The sequence below is a fragment of the Homo sapiens genome, chromosome 2 (genome assembly GCF_000001405.40).
Source record: "Homo sapiens chromosome 2, GRCh38.p14 Primary Assembly".
In the NCBI taxonomy this organism is placed as follows: domain Eukaryota; kingdom Metazoa; phylum Chordata; class Mammalia; order Primates; family Hominidae; genus Homo; species Homo sapiens.
Window position 1 is genome coordinate 47,135,133 of NC_000002.12, and position 21,109 is coordinate 47,156,241.

The 21,109-nt window shown below is 40.7% G+C and overlaps 1 protein-coding gene across 2 annotated transcripts in view, besides 1 other annotated feature; it reads right to left on the reverse strand.

The window, feature by feature from the left end:
• The window catches only part of STPG4 (sperm-tail PG-rich repeat containing 4), a 68,318-nt gene extending 48,142 nt beyond the window's left edge, over nucleotides 1-20,176 (reverse strand). For both annotated transcript variants that reach the window (NM_001163561.2, NM_173649.3), the window contains exons 1-3: nucleotides 20,039-20,176; nucleotides 17,825-17,884; nucleotides 16,126-16,383 (exon numbers count right to left, since the gene is read on the reverse strand). In NM_001163561.2, coding sequence (NP_001157033.1) covers nucleotides 16,126-16,383; nucleotides 17,825-17,884; nucleotides 20,039-20,119 — 399 coding nt within the window. In that variant the 5' untranslated portion in view covers nucleotides 20,120-20,176. The remainder of the gene's footprint in view (nucleotides 1-16,125; nucleotides 16,384-17,824; nucleotides 17,885-20,038) is intronic.
• Nucleotides 20,694-20,853: an enhancer, noted in NCBI's record as "active region_15722". NCBI's record gives its function as "activates an Ori minimal core promoter by ATAC-STARR-seq in GM12878 lymphoblastoid cells {active_cell/tissue: GM12878}" and the evidence as "EXISTENCE:reporter gene assay evidence [ECO:0000049][PMID:35858748]".

The following is a 21,109-nucleotide window of genomic DNA, read 5'->3' on the forward strand; positions in this document are numbered from 1 at the left end:
TTAGTCACTTGTCTTTTCATTCTCTTCAGTGTCTTTTGCTGAGCAGAAAATTTTAGTTCCAAAGAAATCCAATTTATTAATTATTTCTTTCATGGATCATGCTTTTGGTGTAGGATCTAAACTCAAAGTCGTCTAGATTTTCTTATGTTACCTTCTAGAAGTTGTATAGTCTTGCTTTTTACATTTAAGTTTTGTAATCAACTTTGAGTTCATTTTGTGAAGGGTTTAAGGTCTGTGTCTAGATTCTTTTCCTCTTTTTTATTTTTATTTTGGAGGAAGAGTCTCACTCTGTCACCCAGGCTGGAGTGCAGTGGGGTAATTTCAGCTCACTGCAACCTGCACCTCCCAGGTTCAAACGATTCTCCTGCTTCAGCCTCCCAAGTAGCTAGGATTACAGGCACCCGCCACCACGTCTGGCTAATTTTTATATTTTCAGTAGAGATGGGGTTTCACTATATTGGCCAGGCTGGTCTTGAACTCATGACCTCAAGTGATCCATCTGCCTCGGCCTCCCAAAGTGCTAGGATTACAGGCATGAACCACCACGCCCAGCCTCTTCTTTTTTGAATGTGGATATCCAGTTGTTCCAGCACCATTTGTTGAAAAAACTATCTTTTCTTTGTTGTATTGACTCTGCTCCTTTGTCAAAATTCAGTTGACTATATTTTTGTGTGTCTATTTCTGTATTCTCTATTCTGTTCCATTGATCTATTTGTCTATTCTTTGCCAATATAATACTCTCTAGATTACTGTAGCTTTTAAGTAGGCCTTGAAGTCAGGTAGTGTCAGTCCTCTAACTTTGCTATTCTCCTTCATCATTGTGTTGGCTATTCTAGGTTTTTGCCTTTCCATATATACTTTAGACTGTTTGTTGATAGCCACAAAATAACATTCTCTAATTATTATTGGGATTGCATGGAATTTAAAGATCAAATTGGGAAGAACTGACATCTTGACAATATTGATCTTCCTATCCACGGGAAATCTCTTCATTTATTGAGTTCTTCTTTGATTTCTTTCTTTTTTTTTTGAGACAGAGTTTCACTCTTGTTGCCCAGGCTGGAGGGAAATGGCGCAATCTCAGCTCACTGCAACCTCTGCCTCCCAGGTTCAAGCGATTGTCCTGCCTCAGCTTCCCGAGTAGCTGGGGTTATGGGCGCCTGCCACCATGCCCAGCTAATTTTTTGTATTTTTCAGTAGAGACGGGGTTTCACTATGTTGGCCAGGCTGGTCTCAAACTCCTGACCTCAGGTGATGCACCCGCTTTGGCCTCCCAAAGTGCTGGGATTACAGGCATGAGCCACCACGCCCAGCCAAGTTCTTCTTTGATTTCTTTCATCAGTTTGTTGTTTTCCTCATTTAGATCGTGTACATATTTTGTTAGATTTATACCTAAGTATGTCATCTTTCGGCGTCCTAATGTGAAGTCATTATATATGTGTGTGTTCTTGACCTTACCAGTAATATTTTATTTTATAATGCAAATAATCCTTCTATCATCATGAGTTTTGACACACGTAGTTTGAGAAGGAAGAGAAGTAAATTCATTTCATCTAATCTTACAATTTCTAGCCAAATGTTTGGTCAATGGAAGAGAGAGAAAGGCATGCTTTTTGAAAGCATGTGTTTTAAAATTCAAATTCCACTTTTTCATTGCTGGTATATATACCAGTATATAGAAAAGTAATCGACTTTTGTATATTAACCTTTATCCTGCAAACTTGCTATAATTTGTTACTAGTTTCAGGAATTTTTGTTGATTCTTTTGGATTTTCTACATAGGCAATCATGTTATCTGTGAACAAGGCAGTTCTTTTTCTTCCTTCCCAATCAGTATACCTTTTATTTCCTTTTGTTGTCTTGTTCCATTAGCTGTAACTTCCACTACAATGTTGAAAAGGAATGGTGAGAGAGGACATCCTTGCCTTTTTCCTGATCTTAGTGGGAAAGCTTCTAGTTTCTCACCATTAAGTATGATGCTAGCTGTAGGTTTTTTGTAGATACTCTTTATCAAATTGAGGAAGTTCCTATTTCTAGTTTACTGAGAATTATTTTCATAAATGGATGTTGAATTTTCTCAAATGCTTTTTCTGCATCTATTGACATGATTATGTGACTTTTCTTTTTTAGCTGTTGATGTGATAGATTATTTGATTTTTAAAATATTGAGCCAGCATTGCATACCTGGGATAAATCTCACTTGGTTGCGATGTATAATTTTTTAATACATTGTTAGACTTAATTTGCTATCATTTTGTTGAGGATTTTTACAACTATGTTCATGAGACATATTGGTCTGTAGTTTTCGTTTTTTGTAATGTCTTTGTCTGGTTTTGGTATTATGATGACACTGGCCTAATAGAATGAGTTAGGAGGTGTGTCCCCTGCCCTCTATCTTCTGAAAGGGATTAGTAAAGAATTGGCATAATTCCTTCCTTAAATATTTGATAGAATTCACCTGTGAACGCATCTGGGCCTAGCAATGTCTATTTTGAAAAGTTATAATCACTGATTCAATTTAATAGATATAGGCCTATTCAGACTCTATTTCTTTTCATGTCAGTTGTGGAAAATTCTGTCTTTCAAGTAATTGGTTCATTTTATCTAGGTAATCAAATTTGTGGAAATAGGGTTATTCAGAATATTCCTTTACTGTCCTTTTTAATGTCAATAGGATCTGTAGTGATGTCTCCTCTTTTGTGTCTAATATTAGTCATTTGTGTTTTCTCTCTTTTTTCTTAGTTAGCCTAGATAGATGCTTATCAATTTTATTATCTTTTCAAAGAATCAGCTCTGAGTTCCTTGATTTTCTCTATTGATTTTCTGTTTTCAATTTCATTGACTTCTGCTCTAATTTTTATTATTTCTTTTCTTTCACTTACTTTGGATTTAATTTACTCTTCTTTTTCTGGTTTCCTAAGGTGCAGACTTACATGATTAATTTTTGGTTTTTCTTCTTTTCTAATACATGCATTCAATACTATAAATTTCCCTCTAAGCATTGCTTTTGCTACATCCCACAAATTTTGTTAAATTTTGTTTTCACTTCCACTTAGTTCAAAGTATTTTAACATTTCTCTTCAGACATTTTTCTAACAACACAGATCCATGTGTTATTTAGAAGTGTGTTGTTTAATCTCCACATATTTTGGGGTTTTCTAGTTATCTTTGTGTTATTGATTTGTAGTTTAATTCAGTTTAATTCCATTGTGGTCTGAGAGCAGACATTGTATAATTTCTATTCCTTTAAATTTGTTAAGGTTTTTTTTTTTTTTTGGAGATGGAGTCTTACTCTGTCACCCAGGCTATAGTGCAGTGGTGTGATCTCGGCTCACTGCAACCTCCACCTCCTGGGTTCAAGTGAGTCTCCTGCCTCAGCCTCCCAAGTAGCTGGAATTACAGGCACCCGCCACCATGCCTGGTTAATTTGTTTTTTTAGATGGAGTCTTGCTCTGTTGCCAGGCTGGAGTGTAGTGCCATGATCTCAGCTCACTGCAACCTCTGACTCCCTGGTTCAAGAGATTCTCCTGTCTCAGCCTCCCAAGTAGCTGGGATTACAGGAACGTGCCACCACACCCAGCTAATTTTTGTATTTTTAGTAGAGACGGGGTTTCACCATGTTGGCCAGGATAGTCTCGATCTCTTGACCTTGTGATCTGCCTGCCTAGGCTTCCCAAAGTGCTGGGATTACAGGCATGAGCCACTGCACCTGGCCAATTATTTTGTATTTTTAGTAGAGACGGGGTTTCACCATGTTGGCCAGGCTGGTCTTGAACTCCTGACCTCAAGTGATCCACCTGCCTTGGCCTCCCAATGTGCTGGGATTACAGGTGTGAGCCACCGCTGCCAGCCCTGTTAAGGTATGTTTTATGGCTCAGAATGTGATCTCTCTTGGTGAATGTTCCATGTGAGCTGGAGGAAATGTGTATTCTGCTGTTTTTGGATGAGGCAGTCTATAGACATAAATTATATCCTGTTGATTAAATGGTGCTGTTGAGTTCAACTATGTACTGACTGATTTTCTGCCTGCTGTATTTGTCCATTTCTGATAGAGGGGTATTTATACTGAAGTCATCTATTTCTCCTTGCAGTTCTATTAGTTATTGCCTCACATATTTTGACGATCTGTTGTTAGGCACATACACATTGCCAAATATAATTATATCTTCTTGTAGAGTTGACTCCTTTATTAAGTAATGCCCCTCTTCATCCCTGATAACACTTATTGCTTTGATGTCTGCTCTGTTTGAAACTAATATAGCTTCTCCTGCTTTATTTTTTTTTTTTCAATTTGAGAGCAGGTACTGTTTATTAACTGACCAGATTAGAAAAATAATCATGGTAGACACCTTAGTTCATTCTTCTAATAAGCCTGTTGATCTGGTCCCCCCTGTTGCCAGCATCTCCACCTTCTACAAAATGGGTGGTCTTTTTCTTCATTCCATCTCATGGAAAGGATAATTTGAAGGGTCACAGGAAGTTATTTGCTTCTTTGAAGAATTTTCCAACAGTATAGATCTCACGAATCAGATCCTCCACGCAGATGATGCCATATTTACCAAGAGATCAAAAGTGGGTTTCTTGTAGACAACATACAAGATTATGCTCTGACAATTTTGATTAACTCCGACAATCTGTCTTTTAATTGGTGTAGTTAGACCAATTAGAGTTTGCATAGTATATCTTTCTCCACCCATTTACTTCTAAATCTCAGCCCACTGCACCCTCCGCCTCCTGGGTTCAAGCAATTCTCCTGCCTCAGCCGCCTAAGTAGCTGGGACTACAGGCGCCCACCATCACACCCGGCTAATTTTTGTATTTTTAGTAGAGATGGGGTTTCATTCTGTTGGCCAGGCTGGTCTCAAACTCCTGACCCTGTGATCCGCCCGCCTCAGCCTCCCGAAGTGCTGGGATTACAAGCGTGAGCCACAGCACCCAGCTGCAGTATCAGTCTTTTTCATGAGTCTCTACCTCTCTCTGGTATAGACTCATGAAAATCTGTGACCATCTGTACTGTGAATTTCACAAGATTTTCTCAGCTACCTCCTCACCCTTAGGTGGCACAGGATGACTAAAGCTGGCTGGAGTTGGGTATTGCCCTTCCCTCAGGTCAGTTAGGTCCTGATTGAATAGTTTCTCCTGAGGGCAGGCCTTGTTAGTAAGAGAGTGCCTGACATATTTCAAAATGGTTCCTTTTCCTCTCCTCTGCCAGCAGCAGGGGCAGGATTTCTCTCTGTAAGAACCTGGGAGAGCTCCTGCAGGTAAACCTCAAAACACGTGAGGCACCCCCTATGATTAGGTCCTCCTGGAGCTTTTAACTCTCAGATTTGCCAACACTTAGCCTCCAGCAATTCTTCAGTTGTAGTTCAGGTGTTCCTACCCCAGCCATGGTTCCTGCAGAAGTTGGTATTTTCTGCCCTGGTAAATTGTAATTCTCTGTATCCTCCTGGCCATCTCTCCAATTTTGGGGATAGTCTGCCCTGTGACCTCACTTCTCTTACAAGTCTAAAATAATTGTTGATTTTTCAGTTTGTTTAGCTTTTAACTTGTTGTTAGGATGGAACTTCAACTTCCAAGCTATTTACATGCAGAACTGGAAACTGGAAGTCAGCGTGACACCATTTTGAGAACCCAGACCCATAAATAGGTGGGTCAGAAGGCAACAGATTTCTAATAGGATTTCTACACCTTTAGAATCCCTATTAGAATAATCATAAGGTGAATGCAGCCAGAAGGCTGGCAGGTACCATATTTCCAGGTACTTTTTTTTTTTTCTTTTTAAGACAGGGTCTCACTCTATCGGGGAGGCGGTGGTGTGATCTCGGCTCACTGCACCCTCCACCTTCCAGATTCAAGCGACTGTCCCGCCTTAGCCTCCCGAGTAGCTGTGACTACAGGTGTGTACCACCACGGCCAGCTAATTTCTGTATTTTTAGTAGAGATGGGGTTTCACCATATTGGCTAGGCTGGTCTCGAACTCCTAACCTCAAGTGATCTGCCCCCCTCGGCCTCCCAAAGTGCTGGGATTACAGGCATGAGCCACCGCTCCCAGCCATTTCCAGGTCTTGATAGAAATTTCTTTAAGTGTCTCTTCTCTCTCAGAAGTAAAGCCTCTTGTGTCATATGGAAACATTACTGACTCACTGCTCAGATTTCTTTAAGGTCTGAGAAATAAACAACATGGGACTTTCTCAAAAAAAAAAAAAAAAGAAGAAAGAAAGAAAACATATCCAATGATACTAATGATATCCTTAATTTCACCAATATCTTGTAATTTTCACTGAGAACTACAAGTGAGTGTCATCCCTGAGATAAATTCTCTGTATCCAGCTTTCAAACTTCACTTTTGTTTGCCACACTCTTGACATATTTTAAGTGACAATCACTGCATTACTTTGCAGGGGCTCTTTGAGAAGTCCTGCCTCAAAAAAAAAAAAAAAATCTGCTAAATAAGCCGCTTGACTAACCACTTTGAGTGCTACTTTTTTTCATTTAAGTGAAGAATGAATTGTTTCATCTTTGCTACATTATGCTCTTTGTTATCCCCACATTTAACTCTTGGGTTCTCAGAGTGACTGGCACCCTTCCTATGGTTTATAGCTATATAGTAGTGCAACTGTTCAAAATCAACACACACTTCAGGTCTAAAATGAGTGTTCAGATCACTGCTGTTGTTTGTTGTTTTCTAAGTAAAATTTATCATTTTACCACTTTAGTGAACACACTGAACACCTGGGGGAGGGCTGTACATTCGGCGGGAGGATTCTCTGGGGATGCTGTGTGGCTACTGAAGGATCTAGGATGCCCCACTCTGATGTTCACCATTACTGCTGCAGTGTGGCTGGTCAGCCCTTCTGTGGGCACAAACTTTGGTTGATACCATGCTCAAGGAAAACCATCCTGTTGAAAATCCCTTCAGTAGTCATTTTACCATGGAGCATTCTGCAAATTAATCTATTTTCAGAGATATCCTCATCACAGCTATAAACACAGCTAGCAAAGATCAGTGAGTTAACTGCCAGATTTTTCAACCTCTCTCTCAACTAGTTCAAGGATGTATTTTGAACATATTCAAATGGATCCTTTGATTCATTCTCTAATTTAATGGGGCGCCTTTCTAGCCTGGCTACCTCTTTTTGACCAAAAAAAAAGATACAGGGGCAGGGAGGGAATAGAATTGCCAAATTTGTTTCATTTTCCATGAGCTCCATCTTCCAAGGCAATGCTAAAGCTAACCTTTAAATTGAAATTTCAAATTTCAAATTTCATTTGCTTAACTGTGATTTTCATTGAAATGTTCCCAACCTAGGAAATAAATAAGAGAATTTTTTTAAAATGGAACATTTTAAGAAAGAAAACAAGAGAACAAAAATGTTAGTTGGAAAAAATTTCGAGTTACTTACAAATGGGCATGATTGAAAGAGTATCATTTACACATTGAAAACAATATCAACAGAAAGAAAAAAATTAATAGTCTCCTTGCTCCCTATCTAACCTCTACTTTCCAAATGGAAACCACTGTTGGTGATTATGAAAGTATTTCTCAGGGGAAAAAAGTATGCATTTAACATCACATATATGTACATTTGTTTTCATGTATACAAATGGGATTATACTCTAAATATTGACTTGTACCTTCATTTTTTTTCATGTAGTAACAACTTAGAGATGCTTCCATATCAACACATATAGATTTATCTCATCTTTTTTTTTTTTTTTTTTTTTTTTGAGACAGAGTTTTGCTCTTGTTGCGCAGGCTGGAGTGCAGTGGCGCGATCTTGGCTCACAGCAACCTCCACCTCCTGGGTTCATCTCCTGCCTTAGCCTCCCGAGTAGCTGGGATTACAGGCGCCTGCCACCACACATGGCTAATTTTTTTGTATTTTTAGTAGAGATGGGATTTCACTATTTTGGCCAGGCTGGTCTTAGGTGATCTGCCTGCCTCGGCCTCCCAAACTGCTGGGATTACAGGCGTAAGCCACCGCACCCGGCCAACCTCAACATTTGTAATGGTTGCACAGTATGTCATTTGTATGGGTGTATCATTTTCTAACTGGCATTGCTGAGTTTAAGGCTATGTGCATTTAGAATGTTGCTAGGTTGCCAAATTGCCCTCCAAAATATTTGCACCAGTTTGTATTCATATAAACAACGTGTGAGAGTATCTGTTTGTGTATCTCCTTTGCCAATATTGGGTATCAATGTACAGTACTTATATAGTTGATCACCTGATAGGCGAAAATTGTGCCTCACTATTATTCCTCTGTAATTATTTATTAGTTGAAGCCAAGCATCACTTTCTTTTTTAGTAATTGGTGTGTCTCTTTGTGAATTGCCAGCTCATGCCCTTTGCTCATTTTTTTTTTTTTTTGAGACAGATTCTCGCTCTGTCGCCCAGGCTGGAGTGCAGTGATGTGATCTTGGCTCACTGCAAGCTCCGCCTCCTGGGTTCACGCCATTCTCCTGCCTCAGCCTCCCGAATAGCTGGGACTATAGGCGTGCGCCACCACGCCCGGCTAATTTTTTTTTGTATTTTTAGTAGAGTCAGGGTTTCACCGTGTTAGCCATGATGGTCTCGATCTCCTGACCTCATGATCCGCCTGCCTCGGCCTCCCAAAGTGCTGGGATTACAGGTGTGAGCCACCGTGTCTGGCCACCCTTTGCTCATTTTTAACCGGAATATTTATTACAATTGGATTGTAAAAGACCATGACTCATTTTCACCATTTGATACAGGTGATAAAGCCAGTTAGTGATCAGCACTTTCTGGAAACTCCCTTGCATCTTCACAGTGGTAATACTCTACATTTTTTTGCATTGACTGACCTTGTTCAGTAATGATTCACTGGCTACAGGCTGAGACAGCATCACCATCTTCTCCCTGTCCCACTAACTGTAGATAGATTCTGGAACCATGTTCTGACTGGCACAGTTTAAACTGACTTCAGGTTGTCCTGAAGTTACCCTAGCATGTTGATTTCAAGCTTATACTTTAAAATCCTCCATTTAAGTCACTAGATCCATGTTTCTAGTTGAAAATATAAATGATGCATTTCAAATGGTAATGGACTTCTACTCTGCAAGGTAGACTTGCAGAATAGGACAACCTTTCTCTAGGACTTTGGACAATGCATCTCGAAAGACACAGACTTCAACATATCCTTTCCTTAACAATTCCACTCTATGACTAACCACAGGGGATGGCTGAATATATTAGGATATGTCCATATACAAGAAAACTATGCAGCTATTAAAAATGTTGTATAGACTGGACATGGTGGCTCACACTTGTCATCTCAGCACTTGGGGAGGCTGAGGCAGGAGGAGGACTGCTTGAGTCCAGGAGTTTAAAACCAGCCTGGGTAACATAGTAAGACCCTGACTCTAGAAAATAAATAAATGAACAAATGTATAAATACACAAAAATAAATGATGTGTAAAGAATACATGAAAAAGATTAATAATATATTTCTAAAAAGAAGAAATTCTGGTTTCTGCAAATGACATGCTAGGTTATTTATTCGGGCGATTAACCTTCCCACTGCTGACCACTAGAAATGAAAGATAAAATATTAAAAAAAAACAAACAAAAGAGTTTTTTTGTTTTTTGTTTTTTGAGATGAAGTCTTGCTCTGTCGCCCAGGCTGGAGTGCAGTGGCGCAACCTCGGCTCACTGCAACCTCCGCCTCCCAGGTTCAAACGATTCTCCTGCCTCAGCCTCCCAAGTAGCTGGGACTACAGGTGCGTGCCACCATGCCTGGCTAATTTTTTGTATTTTCAGTAGAGATGGGGTTTCACTGTGTTAGCCAGGAAGGTCTTGATCTCTTGACCTCGTGATCCGCCCGCCTTGGCCTCCCAAAGTGCTGGGATTACAGGCGTGAGCCACCGTGCCCAGCCACAGAAGAGTTTTTAAAAAGATATGGAATTGCCAACAATATAGTAGGAAATTACATGATCCTAAACTAAAAGACAGCAAGAAGCCAAGGAGGTAAGTGGCTTAATTTTGTCTAGAGAATGTTTGCTGGTCCAGACTAAATTCAACAGAACACAGCTGAGTTTAAAGGAACTTCAGAGCCCTGGAAGAATCCAGGGGTCAAAGTCTGGGCCTATTCATGATAAAGGGAGGAAGGAGTCTAATGGAAGATACCCACTGGAATTTGAGACCCTAGAAAGGTACTTCCTGAAAGTAAACTCTCCCACCTCACTCCACTGCCAAGGGGACTGCAGAGAGTTGCCTAAGCAAGAACTGAGAGGGAGAAGAAACCCGTCCCTGAGAGATTATAACCATGGGCTGTCCCTTTCATGAATTCCAGCCCAAATTCACAATGCTAGGGTGATCCAAGAAGACATAAACACTGCATTTTGAGTTGTACCAGACTGGTGGCTCCCCTATATATTAACAGAAGCCAAAGCAAACCTTAGGCCTTGGGGAATTCACAAAAATACATTTTCAAGAGTAACGAGCAATACACAGTTAAAGACAATCACATACACATAAGAAAACAAAATGAGTAAGGCCCAGTCAGATTTCAGGTATTTGAGTAATCATTAATTCATTCACAGGTTCAACCAATATTAATCATCAGACACTGTTCTAGACAGAGATATAATAATGAGCAAAACAGATAAATATTCATGTCCTCATGAAGTTCCATTCATGGGAGAAGGCACATTAACAAATAATCAATGTAAAGTGCAAGTAAATTATATAGTACACTTGATAGCTATAGATGCCAAGAAAAAAATATAAGAGCCAGGTAGGGAAGATCTGAAGCGTTGAATAGTAAATTTAAATGGGGCTCATTGAGAACATGACACTTGAACAAAGACTTGAAGAAGGATAGAGAGTAGGCCATCCAGATATCTTGGATAAGAGTATCCCAGAAAAAGGGTACAGTGAAAATACCTTGAGGTAGGAGTGTGAGTGCTAAGTTCAAGATACAGCCAAAAGGACAAGTGGGTCAGGAAGAGAGTGACAGGGAGTAGTAAGACAAAGTCAAGAATGAAGCCAGTTCACAATATCCCTGCTGGCCTTGAGAAAAGCCACTCAGAGATCACACTCACTATCATACCGCTTTAACCTAGTGGTTCTGAACCAGGAGCACGGCAACGTCTGGAGACATTTTTGGTTGTTACAACTGGAAAAGTAGATTGCTAATGATACTTAATGAGTAGAGGCCAGGTGCTACAATGCACAGAACAGCCCCCCGCCCCACCCAACCACAACAAAGATTTATCCTGCCCAAAACGTCAGCAGTGCCAAGCTTGACAAAACCAGGATTAGACATACAGATGTATAAATCAAAAAGGGAATTGGCCGCAATGGCTCACTCCTGTAATCTCAGCACTTTGGGAGGCCAAGGCAGGAGGACCACTTGAGCCCAGGAGTTTGAGACCAGCCTGGGCAACATAGTGGGACCCCATCTCTACTGAAAAAAAAAAAAAAAGGAATTGGATATACAAGTTTGGAATTCAAGAAAACTATCTAGGTGGCAGATACAAATTTGGTAATCACCAACAAATACATGGTGTTCATAGCCTTGAGTGAGACTGGATGAGATCACCATTCAGAGAATGAGCAGAGATGGAGCAGAGGTCTGAGTGCTTGGGGCACTCCAAGATGGAGATGAGGGAAGAGCAGAGATGGCAAAAAATGGCTGAGAAGAAAAACCAAAAATGAGGATAGGGGAGGAAGTGTAGGAGGTTTGAAAAGAGGGGAGAGTGGCTGGGTGCGTGACTCATGCCTGTAATCTCAGCACTTTGGGGGGATGAGGCAGGAGGATCGCTGGAGCTGAGGAGTTTGAGACCAGCCTGGGCAACATAATGAGACCGCCTCTTCTAAAAATTTAAAAAATTAGCCAGGCATGGTGGCTGGTGCGTGCTTATAGTCCCAGCTATTCAGGAAGCTAAGGGGGAGGATTGCTTGAGCCTGGGGAATCGAGGCTGCAGTGAGCTATGATTGTGCCACTGTACTGTAGCCTCGGTGACAGTGTCTTAAATAAATAAATAAATAGGATATACAAGATAAAACCACCCAGGAGAATGGCAAAGTAAACAGACTAGAGAAGTCCATTCAGTGCCCATCAGAGGTGAAGAATTTAGCATGAGAGCAGTCATGCAGCTACATGGATGCAGGTATTAATACAAAGAGAGACGTACCCAGGGTTGTGGCTTTGCCAAACAAGTAAAAGATGAGCAGTTAGGGGCAAGGGAATTGACAGTGTATGCAGGGAATAACTATAATGATTAACTATGGGATTGGAGCTTTGCAAGGAAGAAGGGAGTTGAGAGGTAGCGAAAAGGTGGGACAATCAATAGATTAGGATTGTAGCCTGCAGGGAATGGAAAAATTGTTAGGGTTGGGATATTAGAGAGTGGGATTCATGTAGAGATTGTAGAGAGTTGAAATTCTTGGTCTTGAAAAACATCTAAGGAGTGAGTGGCTGAGGTAGCAGAAAGTTCAAGAAACTGAGAAGCCAGGTTGTTGAAAGATCATCTATGTGTGTGTTGAAATTATGATATGAGTAGTGAAAAGAGTGACAGTGAGGGAAGGGGGCTAATATCAAGGAATAAGGGGAGTAACCCAGGGGTCAGTGGAGGACTACAACACTAGGGGAAATAGCAGGTCATAAAATTGTACATATGGAGAAGGTGGTCCCGTTTGTGTACATATATTCTACAATGTGAATATACTATTTATCTGTTAAGAAAAAGGTTATTAGAAAAATTACAGAGCTACCTCAAATCTCCTTTGAAAAGGGCCAAATATAGATAAGTATATGCATGCACACACACACACATTCAAATATGTATATACATATTCCTTTTTTTTTTTTTGAGACCGGGTCTTGCTCTGTCGCCCAGGCTGGAGGGCAGTGGCACAATCTCAACTCACTGTACCCTCTACCTCCCGGGTTCAAGCAATTCTCGTGCCTCAGCCTACCAAGTAGCTGGGATTACAGGCCTGTGCCACAATGCCCAGCTAATTTTTGTATTTTTCTTATAGTAGAGATGGGGTTTCACCATGCTGTCTCGAACTCCTGGCCTCAAGTGATCCACCTGCCTCGGCCTCCCAAAGTGCTGGGATTACAGGTGTGAGCCACTGCACATAGCCCCTATATATATATGCCTAATAAGACTGTTCAGTACGGGTGAAAGGGTTGAAAAACTAACTATTGGGTACTAATAGTTAGCCACTCAGCACTTGGGTGATGGGATCAATCGTACCCCAAACCTCAGCATCATGGAATATACACGGGTAACAAACCTGCACATGTAGACCCTGAATCTAAAATAAAAGTTGAAAAAAAAATAGAAAGTCTCTCCAATACAGATTCTCGAGTTGAGTTACATGCCTCAGAATAAAGATACTAAAAATAGTGAAAACTTTATTTATTTATTTATTTATATTATTATACTTTAAGTTCTAGGGTACATGTGCACAATGTGCAGGTTTGTTACATATGTATACATGTGCCATGTTGGTGTGCTGCACCCGTGAACTCGTCATTTACATTAGGTATATCTCCTAATGCTATCCCTCTCCACTCCCCCAACTCCACGACAGGCTCCTGTGTGTGATGTTCCCCTTCCTGTGTCCAAGTGTTCTCATTGTTCAGTTCCCACCTATGAGTGAGAACATGTGGTGTTTGGTTTTTTGTCCTTGCGATAGTTTACTGAGAATGATGGTTTCCAGCTTCATCCATGTCCCTACAAAAGACATGAACTCATCCTTTTTTATGGCTGCATAGTATTCCTGAAAACTTTATTACAAATAAAAAGCAGCCACTGAAAGATATAAAATGAATATTCTGTGAAAAATTATAAAATTTGAGAATGCTATTCTAGCTTAATGTATAACAATAATACATACTATATCTACCCCAAATTCAAAGTATTCTGAGTTCTGCTATTAAAACAGAATTTTGAATTTTACTGGTGACTAAACAATGTTTATGTTTCCCCTTGTGAATATATATATCTTTGAAATAGAAAATTAGAAAAACACTGAATTTTTCCAGTTTCTAGAGTTTAATCCTTTGTGGGAGGTGGAGAGGAAAGAAGAAAGAAACAGAAAAACTATGTTTTCAGAAGGTTTTATCCATCCTTCCGAGTAAGCCTAATTCTTTTGGTCTTTAAAAACTTTAAGTATTGTGTAACTCCATCCTTGTACGTTTTCTCCTTTCAACACTGGGCCTTTGGCTGATTTTCAGGGACTTGTAAAAGCGAGAAGAGAGGAAGCAGAAAAGAAAATGGCAGAAGAGAGTAAGAAAGACTTTGCATTTGAGATAGCCAGAACAATTTCACACATAGCCTGGTTATCTGGTAGCAAGCCATAAAGGTGCTAGTATAATTTAGAGTTTGTATGCATCCACTGAAGCAAACAGGATAAGATATACCTAATGAACACTTATCATTCTGTTCTGTTTCAAAGCTACAATTTGTAAAGTAGTAGAAAGTTTGGATTTGACATGTGTTCATCCTGCTGAAAATTTTGTGTCCACTTTAGTAATTACAACCCCTTGTACTTAATTCAACCTTCAGCTGCAATACATTTCTCTCAGGTTATCACAATAATATTCTGATGAAGTTATGAAGATTGATACTGTTATTAGCTTATTTATAAATGGGAAATATTAATGCAGAGAGAACTGAGACAAGTACCCAAAGTCCCAAGTAACAAAGTCCAAGTCACAACTCTTATCCCTTGAACAGACCACGTTCCTGCCACTTCCATGCCTTCAACAATGCTGTACTCCTCCCTCGGAATACCTCCTTTGGATTCCATCTACCCAAACCCTGCCCCTCATTCAAGGCGAGGGGCACATGGTAGACTGGAAAGAGGACTAAATTTTGGTGCAGAAGCCCTCAGTAAAAAGTGCTGCTTCACCTACTTAAGTATTAGCAATGTGCCTTTGGACAAGTTATTTAGTCTCTACTCACCTTAGTTTTCTTGCATGTAAAATGGAGTTAATATCTGTTCTATTTCAGAATGCTTAAGAAGGAAGCAACTAAGAGAATATACATGGAAGCCCATAGTAAACCATTAAGAGCCACATAAAAGACATGTATTAGTGAAGGTCCAGTTAAGTTCTACGTAAGCCACGGAGCTTTCCAGCCTTTTAATCCAGCCTCCTTTGGCACTTGAACTCTCCTTTGGCATTTCCAGCTCCACTATTTATCTGAGCACTTGATAAACTCTGTCCTGTATTGTTGCTTAAATACCTCTGGGTCAGGAACATCTTCCTTCCGCAGAGCCTAGTGCAGGGCTGTGAGCTCAGTAGTGCTCTTTATTATCAATGCTACAAATGAACTGGTGGAGCTGAGAGTAGAAGCTGACCCTCCTGGGACCACATGCTCACTTCTTTTCTTTTTTTTTTTAATTAAAAAAAATATTTTTAGAGACAGCATGTCACTCTGTCACCCAGGCTGGGGTACAGTCATATAATCATAGCTCACTGCAGCCTCAAACTCCCAGGCTCAAGGGATCCTCCTGCCCTGGCTTCCCAAGTAGCTATTTTTTTTTTTTTTTTAAAGAGTTGAGGGCTTGTTATATTGCCCGGGCTGATCTACAACACCTGGCCTCAAGTGATCCTCCCACCTCAGCTTCCAGAGTAGTTGGGACCACAGGCATGCACTACTACACCCGGCTATTTTTCTTTATTTTTTGTAGAGATGGGTCATTTCTATAAGAAAAGTTTTTAAAAGCTTCCCTGTGGTATGTAGTTATATTTATGCTCTAATAAGGATACTCCCCGAGAGGCAGGGTTTTCTCTTTAAAAGAAGAGGGTTCACCACATATACTGCTTGAAGAGATAAGAGCATAGCCCAATGACAGATAAGATCCCAGGTGCTCTCCAGGCTAGGGGAATCCCACCAAGAGTTGCCCAAGAGGAAAACATTTCTCCCCATGTACTCCCCTTAGGTTAAGAAGATGTTATAGGGAAAAATCTTACTGGAAACATTTGCAAATCAGGCAGTCCTTGTTTGATTTCTACGGGAAATAAGACATCTTAAAGGTTTTCCATTTCTCCTGGGGGAAGATATACTCTACGTATAAAAATACTTTCCTCAGGGGCTCTTAGTAGCTTTCCCACACAAAGCAATCTGCCAGTAGCGCTTTACCTGATCTTTGTCAACTAGTGTGCTGGGGCTTGGCCGTGGTTTGTCTTTGAATGAGTAAGTAGCCACTTGCTTCTTTAACAGGTCCAGGAAGTCAGGAGGCATATACTGCGGAAGATCATTTAGGACTGGATTGTTTCTTTGCACAAGAGGTGGCTTTTTCCTTCCTTCGTTTTTAAAATTGTAGGTTGCTATCACTGGATTTAATAGGGATTCTTCAATAAAAGTTTTCAAGTGGTAAGTGCCAGGTATAGGAGTATCCTGTGGAAAATTGACATCAGTTTTAAGATTGTGTAAACATGTAACTTCTCCTAAAACACCATTCTTGGATGGGAAGCTCCCAAGTAACATCTCTCTTTGTTTTCAAGTTTAATGAAATTATATCAAATACAGTAAACACTCTTGACAGAAGAGTATTTCAAAATCATGATTATTTCCTTTCTGAAATAATTGCTGAATTAAAGCAAACGGGTTAGAGTTGAAATTTAACTTTTTTTTTTTTTTGAGACAGAGTCCCACTCTGTCACCCAGGCTGGAGTGCAGTGGCACAATCTAGGCTCACTGCAAGCTCCGCCTCCCAGGTTCATGCCATTCTCCTGCCTCAGCCTCCCAAGTAGCTGGGACTACAGGCATCAGCCACTACGCCCGGCTAGTTTTTTGTTTTGTTTTTTTTTTTTTTTTTGTATTTTTAGTAGAGACAGGGTTTCACTGTGTTAGCCAGGATGGTCTAGATCTCCTGACCTTGTGATCCGCCCGCCTTGGCATCCCAAAGTGCTGGGATTACAGGCGTGAGCCACCAGGCCCGGCCGAAATTTAAGTTTTTAAAAGGCAACTTCGGTGATTCAACTTTGGGATTCAAGCTTGACTATGAATTTCAGACCTCTAGTGAGACCACTCAGGATAGTCTCTTGGCTAACTAGAAGCTATCCTACATCTGCTTAGCCAATGTAGGATGTTTCTCTCTAGCCCTCAAGTGGGAAGCTGAAGGATAATGACATGACACCAGGATAAACTGGCAGAGCATATGGCCTAGTTAGTCCAATAAGAGGTTTGGTACTTTCAAATTACAACCAGTGTGGCTGAATGGCCAGAATTGAACGTTTAGTCACTGCTGCTTTTGTGGCCATCTTTCCACTGAGCACTCAGCTCAGTTCTGCCTTTAAAATTACTGCAATTCCAAGAAGGCTTTGACCCATGAAGTCCCTCTATTATTGAAGGGCATTGACAGAAAATATGTCTGTAATATAGAAACTCTCTGGTGAGGGGGATCTTCTGGTCATTTTTCTTCCATATATTACCATTTTGCTTTCATATATTGACCATATTAAGAACCATTTGCAGAAGGTCTTTACCATATAAGATAAAAACTGAAACCAAAACACCTTTCCAGAATGTATGCTTTTTTTGTTTTGCAATCTCACCCAGATCATAAGAGCATAGGTTAGCCTTATCTAGATATTCTGTAAAGCACCTAGATTTCTAGAATTGTTTAACTTTCCCAAGCTTCTATTGCATTCAAAATTAAAAGTTAGTTTCTTATTCATATGCTGACACTAAAATTTTAAGTATGACATGAGGTCCATGCAGATCTGAACAATCACTGTTTTCTTACAATTTAGTGTTAGTCTTAAAAGCTATAATTGATTAAAATATTAATGGAATAGGAATAATGTGAATAGGAAAGACTGAACAATGTACATACTGTTAATGCTATTCTCCACCATCCTTCTCTTTCAAAAGAGGAAGTCTTTTGGGCTGGTTTCTGTTAACAAACACAAAGTATGCTTATTCATTTGAGAGGTGATCCCTTGAAATTAAATATAATTTATAAAACATTTGCTTGAAGAAATTCACACCCATACCCAACTGATATGTCTTCATTAAAATAAAAGCTACATAATAATAAATTTGCCCATATTTCCTTAAATTGTTATTTTATGGTCTTAAGTCCTTTCAAATAACTAAATTCCCTTTGATAAAATTAGAGTAATAAACACCCCCATCTCACAGAGATGTTGTAAGTATCTTAAATGTGACAAAATGTGGTGTCCTTAGGAAGAAAAGAGTTAGGCTTGAAGCCAGACCGACTTAGGCTGGAACTCAGCTCTGCCACTTACCAGCTAGGTGCACTGGGTGAGTTACCCAACCCTCGTGCTTCCTCACAGTAGTATAAAAATAAGGCACTACCAGAGTTGGCATGAGAATAAAGCATTGTATGCCAGATGTGGTGGCTCACGCCTGTAATCTCAGCACTTTGGGAGGCCAAGTTGGGTGGATCTCTTGAGGCCAGGAGTTTAAGACCAGCCTGGCCAACATGTTGAAACCCTATCTGTACTAAAAATACAAAAACATTAGCTGGGCATGGTGGCACATGCCTGTAATCCCTCCTCAGAAGGCTGTAATCCCTACTCATGAGGCTGAGGCACGAGAATCACTTGAACTCCGTAGGCAGAGGTTGCAGTGGGCCGAGATCACATCACTGCAACTCCAGCCTGGGCGACAAAGCAAGAAGCCACCTCAGGGGGAAAAAAAAGACTAAGGCATTGTACTTATAAAGACTTGCATATACAATCAGTGCTTAATAAATGGTAGCTTTAATTTTTAACATCCCATTTGCCAAGTTAAGAAGCTGATTATTTTGGTATTCCTCAGTTTCCAAGGAAGCTTTTGTCTTCATATTTAGTACTCTATACCCATTCATCCATTATTATTTCATATTTATTTCAGCCCATTGTCCACAGAACACAACCGTTTAGTATATTGCTGTTTGTCCTAGATAAAATCATTAAAATGTTGAGTTCTCCTTTCATTTATAATGCCTTTATTACTATAAAATATAGGTCATCAAGCAGGACTGCATTAAAAGTAATAATCAGTAAAACTGATATAATTCATTCTTCCTGTCTAGTAACTTAAATCTACTGTACTTATGAGTACCACTGGGCTTTATTTTATTATGAAATATGTTAATTTCTTTAAAAAACATTTTCTCATGACACTGCTAAAGCTGAGCTTCTTCTTTGATACTTCTTCGCGAGATTTATGTTGAATCTTCTCTGTTGCACTTTTATAGTCACAGAAATACAACTTTCTCAGGCAGGTCAAGACAGGCCTCCCACCCCTACCCCAGAATAAGGAAAATGAGATGGGAAGGAGAGAGAAGTAAACGCGATCAATCTAATGGAAGACAATTGGCAGCTGCTGTTTTGTTTTGCCCAAGACAGGTGATCTAAATTCCATCTATCTACCACTTTAAATTCACTCTAAGGGGAAAGATAAAAGATTAGGTTAAACAACCCTCACCCACATTTATTTTAAAATGTAACAAAGGCCAGCCATGGCGGTGCATGCCTGTAATCCCAGCTACGCGGGAGGCTGAGGCAGGAGAATCCCTTGAACCCGGGAGGCGGAGGTTGCAGTGAGCCGAGATCACACCGCTGCACTCCTGCCTGGGTGACAGAGCGAGACTCTAAAAGAAAAACGTAGCAAAAGTAGCTTCAAATATTTTTATAAATATTAAAGTAGGAGGCGGAGCAAAACGTGTCTAGTAAAACTACAGAAGGAAAAACCCAGTCTTCCGGCAGATGGAGCGGAAAGGGAAAGAAATCCAATCACCATATTAAAGCAGTTGTCCAGTTTAATTAGTAGTGGGAAGAAGGGAAAAATACAGAAAACAAAGGGCGAAGGAGAAGGAAAAGGGAAGAAGCAAGGGGAAAAGAAATAAAACAAAGGAAATGTCCAATAAAGACCAGGAAGGAAGGTCCGCAGGTGGAGACGTGCGTGAGGGCAGGGAGAGAAGGGTAGGAAGAGGGAACGAGAGCGGCACGAAGGCCTGGGATTAGAGAGCGGTGGGAAAAGGGTAGTGGGCCTGGTGAGGGGAGCAGGAGCCAGGCCGGCAAGGGGCAGGCCATCTTACCGAAGCTGTGATGAATGATTCTCCACCCACCAGGTCTTCCCTTATTGAGGTGGAAGCGGTGGCGACGGCTGGCTGGTCCATGGTGGCCTCCTCTCTCTCTAGGCTGAACCTGAGCTCCGGTTGCTAGGAGGCGGGTGTGGCCCGTGGGCTCCCGAGCGCGCGCGCCTGGGACCGCTCCGGGGGACCCGCCAGGTTTGTCTTTAGTGCTGCAGGGAAGGGAAGCGGGCACGCACTTTGAGGTCCCGCGCGAAGAACTGCGCAGAGGAAAACCCTCGAAAAGAGACGGTTATGAAAGCTTGTGAGAAGAAAATCTAGAGGGCTCTGGAGTTGCTAGAGAGCCCTCGGGTAAGGATCTGCGAAAAGGGAGGCTTGTTAAGGGCTTGAGCGTACCCACAATCTCCATTAGTTCCCTTCCAATCCACCACCAATCGCACACCCCAGACAGGGAGGCAGTGTGCTTGGTAGGCATACTTAAGAGAAATCTGCCTTAGCACCCACTTTCTAAGATTGTTTCTAAGCTCCTCCAAATAGAAACTCTGGGGCTGACTTCTCTTGCTTCTGACTTGCAGAGTGGAGTGAGCACCAGACACAGCCGGTTTCACTAGCTGTGAAACCACAGACCACCCCATTCTTCTCAGTATAGACCCTTTTTATTGTCAGCCTCTCTAGGCTGTAGCTTCTTCTTAACCTAGGAACATTCTCACCTTTAAAAACAAACCCTCCACAACCTTAATTTCATTTTATACAGTACCTACTGTATTCCAGGGACTTCACACACATTAGTCTCATTTAATCTTCATACCAACCCTACAAAGTAGGTATTAGTTTCATTTTCTGGATGAGGAAACAAAGGTTTCCTTGGACGTTTAGCACAGTTCACTCAGCATCACACACAAATGGCAGAACCAGAATTAAAATCCAGACCTGACTCTAGAGCTCCACTGCCCTATACCATGAAGTTTCTGCTTCCCTTTACAAACTTTCAAGAGTAATATGGACTCTTTTCTCACTTCCCATACTTTCCTTAAAACATCTTAATCTGGCCTGCACACAGCTTTTAATTAAAATTGC